The sequence below is a fragment of the Homo sapiens genome, chromosome 11, assembly GCF_000001405.40.
Source record: "Homo sapiens chromosome 11, GRCh38.p14 Primary Assembly".
NCBI lineage: Eukaryota > Metazoa > Chordata > Mammalia > Primates > Hominidae > Homo > Homo sapiens.
In genome coordinates, this window is record NC_000011.10 from 64,538,666 (window position 1) to 64,541,277 (window position 2,612).

General features: G+C 56.4%; 1 annotated feature.

Annotated features, from left to right (window-relative positions):
• Positions 1,319–1,857: an enhancer, noted in NCBI's record as "H3K4me1 hESC enhancer chr11:64307456-64307994 (GRCh37/hg19 assembly coordinates)". NCBI's record gives its function as "activates a minimal SCP1, AML or CMV promoter by ChIP-STARR-seq in primed H9 embryonic stem cells {active_cell/tissue: H9 hESC(primed)}" and the evidence as "EXISTENCE:reporter gene assay evidence [ECO:0000049][PMID:30033119]".

Genomic DNA, 2,612 nt, shown 5'->3' on the forward strand with positions numbered 1-2,612 from the left:
TCCCTTCACTGTCACTATCCTCACTGCCCTGGGCTTGCCTTGGGACACAGTCCTGGGGCACCCGGCCGTCCTCAGCATGCCCCCAGCACAGGGTCACCCTCGCTGGGCCCTGCAGGCTGTGTGGCGAAATGGCCACCTGCTGCGGGTGAAGCGGGACCTGGCATGCCTGCCCTATGTCACTGCGGCAGCCTCTACCTGCACCTGGTGGAGCTGGTGTGCTTGTCACCACCTGGCACCCACGTAAGGTGTGCAGGGAGGGCGGGGCGGCCAGTGCCCCAGGGGTCCTCAGTCTCACCCACCTTTTCGAGTTGCTTTCCAGATCACTGGACCCTGGATTCCTACTATCTGGGTTCAAGTCCTGGCTCCATTATTTATTCTGCACCTGTTGGTTTTCTTAGATTCCACAAAACCATCCACACAGCCCCTTCTGCTTGGTGGGTGGGTGGATCGTGAAGCCACGCTGGCGGAGCCAGAGGGGGGCGGGGGGCTATGCAGAGGTGGAGAGAAGCCTCAGGATGTCGTGGGGGTCTGGGCGTCTGGGGGTCTGCCCTATCCTGACAGAGGACCTGAGGCGACAGGAGGAGCAGGGTGGGGCAGAGCCTGGCACTGCCCTTCGCCCTGGGAGACATCATACCCTTCAGTGCCCAGAACTACAGGGCAGGGACCCAGCTCTATTTTACCAAGTCCAGAGCCCAGATGTCCCCTCCCCCAACCAGAGGCAGCAGGAGGCTGGGCCTGTAGCCAGAGGCCCCCAGGAAGCCCCCATCTGCCCCGGCCTCTCCTCTGGGTAAAAGCCCTGCCCTCATCAGGTGAGGTGTGGCCTGACCCAGGGCCTGGCTGCAGTGGGCTCAGCAAACGTTCTTTACTGACAGACTGGGTTCCCCACATAGCCCTGTGGGGCAGGGATCCTCTGAGCAGCGGTAGAAGAGGAGTTCAATGTGCCTTCACACAGCAGGATGCTTAGTCTCTTTTCAATTTTCTTTCTTTCTTTTTTTCTTTTTTTTTGAGATGAGGTCTTGCTATGTCGCCCAGGCTGGTCTTGAACTCCTCGGCTCAAGCAATCCTGCCACCTCGGCCTCCCAAAGTGGGGGGATTACAGGTGTGAGCCATCATGCCTGGCCCCCTTTGCAATTTTCTTTCAGCCCCCTTAAGTCACTCGAGCAGGAGAATCTGCCTCCTGGGACTAGCAATGCCTTATTCTTAAAAACAAAGAATGCTGGCCTCAGCTCAGCTCCCTTGGCAGGCGAAGGTACCCAGCCAGAACTGTCACATTTGTTTCATTTGCACAGGATATTTTTACAGTTTTCTTCTATTTGTGGCGAGTGATCCTGGTTTTCCAGTTGTGGTCGTTGCTGTAGACATTCTGGGGCACATAAATGATTTAGAAGTCAGTTCGCCGAGAGAAAACCATGAATTAGATAATAGTACATGTGATCTGAAGATATGGCAGGAGTCACAAAGGTATGTAAATGACACAGGTTTGGAAAATGCTGCTCTGAGGCAAGACAAGGATCACCTGCTGGGTCAGGGATGCATTATTTTGTGACTGTGTCTTGTTCTCAGGCTATGGTGGCCTGGAGGATTTGGGAACCCCAGAACAGATGTGAGTTGATTAAGCATACACATGGCACTTCCTTTGTGGCCGGGTACTCCCCTAAGTGCTTTTCTGATGTGGCCTCACTTCATCCTCACAACTATGCCATCAGTCCAATGTTCCCATCTTACAGATTAGGAAACTGAGGCACAGTAAGCTTAGCAAGCTGCTCTGAGTCTGCCCAGCCGGTGAGTGGCAGAGCCAGGGTTTGAACGTGGCTGCCTGGCCCAGGGTCTGTGCTATGAGCTCCCACCGGGGTCCCAGCGTCTCAGCCCTTACGCCCTGCAGGGCAATTGTCGGTGCTGCGGTTGTGTCCCTGGGTCACCTTTTCAACGTGTGCCCTGCAGGAAACACAGGCCTGGCCCTGCCTGGTGCTGGTGCCTTGGAGCCTCTTAGAGTTGTTTTGTCATTTGCTGCCATGGGGGCCGCAGCCTCCACCAGGGCCCCTGCTGTGTGGGCACCGAGGGAGACTCAACATCCTTGGGGGTGGAAATCCTCTCCTGAGACTAGGGTGGCCGCTGCTGTGACTGGTGTCCCCAGGCCAGGGAAGCTGAAGCACGAAGTGTGACTGTTATTGTCCTTCCAGGGCAGAGTTAGGGGAGTGTTGGTCACTAAATGTGATAACAGGCGCCACCAGGCTTCCCTCCAGGACCGGGCATTTGGAGAAGGCACCCACCCTCCTTTCAGGACAGTGGCAGAGGAGGGGTCAGATATAAACTCACCCCCGGTTCTGAAGATCTGAGGACCCCTAAAGAACATTTCACCCCACTCCCTCCCATCACTGACCCCATCCTCCTGGGCATGGCCAGCCTGGGGGATTTTCTCCTTCTGCCTGGAACTGACACTACCCAGGACTCAGAGGACGGTGAGCAAGGTCCTAGGGAAAGGGTCGATGATGAAGAAACGAGAAGACAAGGTCCTAGGGACAAAGTTCCAAGGGAGAGGGCTCCCTGGTGGCGACAGAGAGAGCCCAGAGGTGCCCGGGTCCTGCTGGGCTGGGACGTCCTGTCCTCAGTCT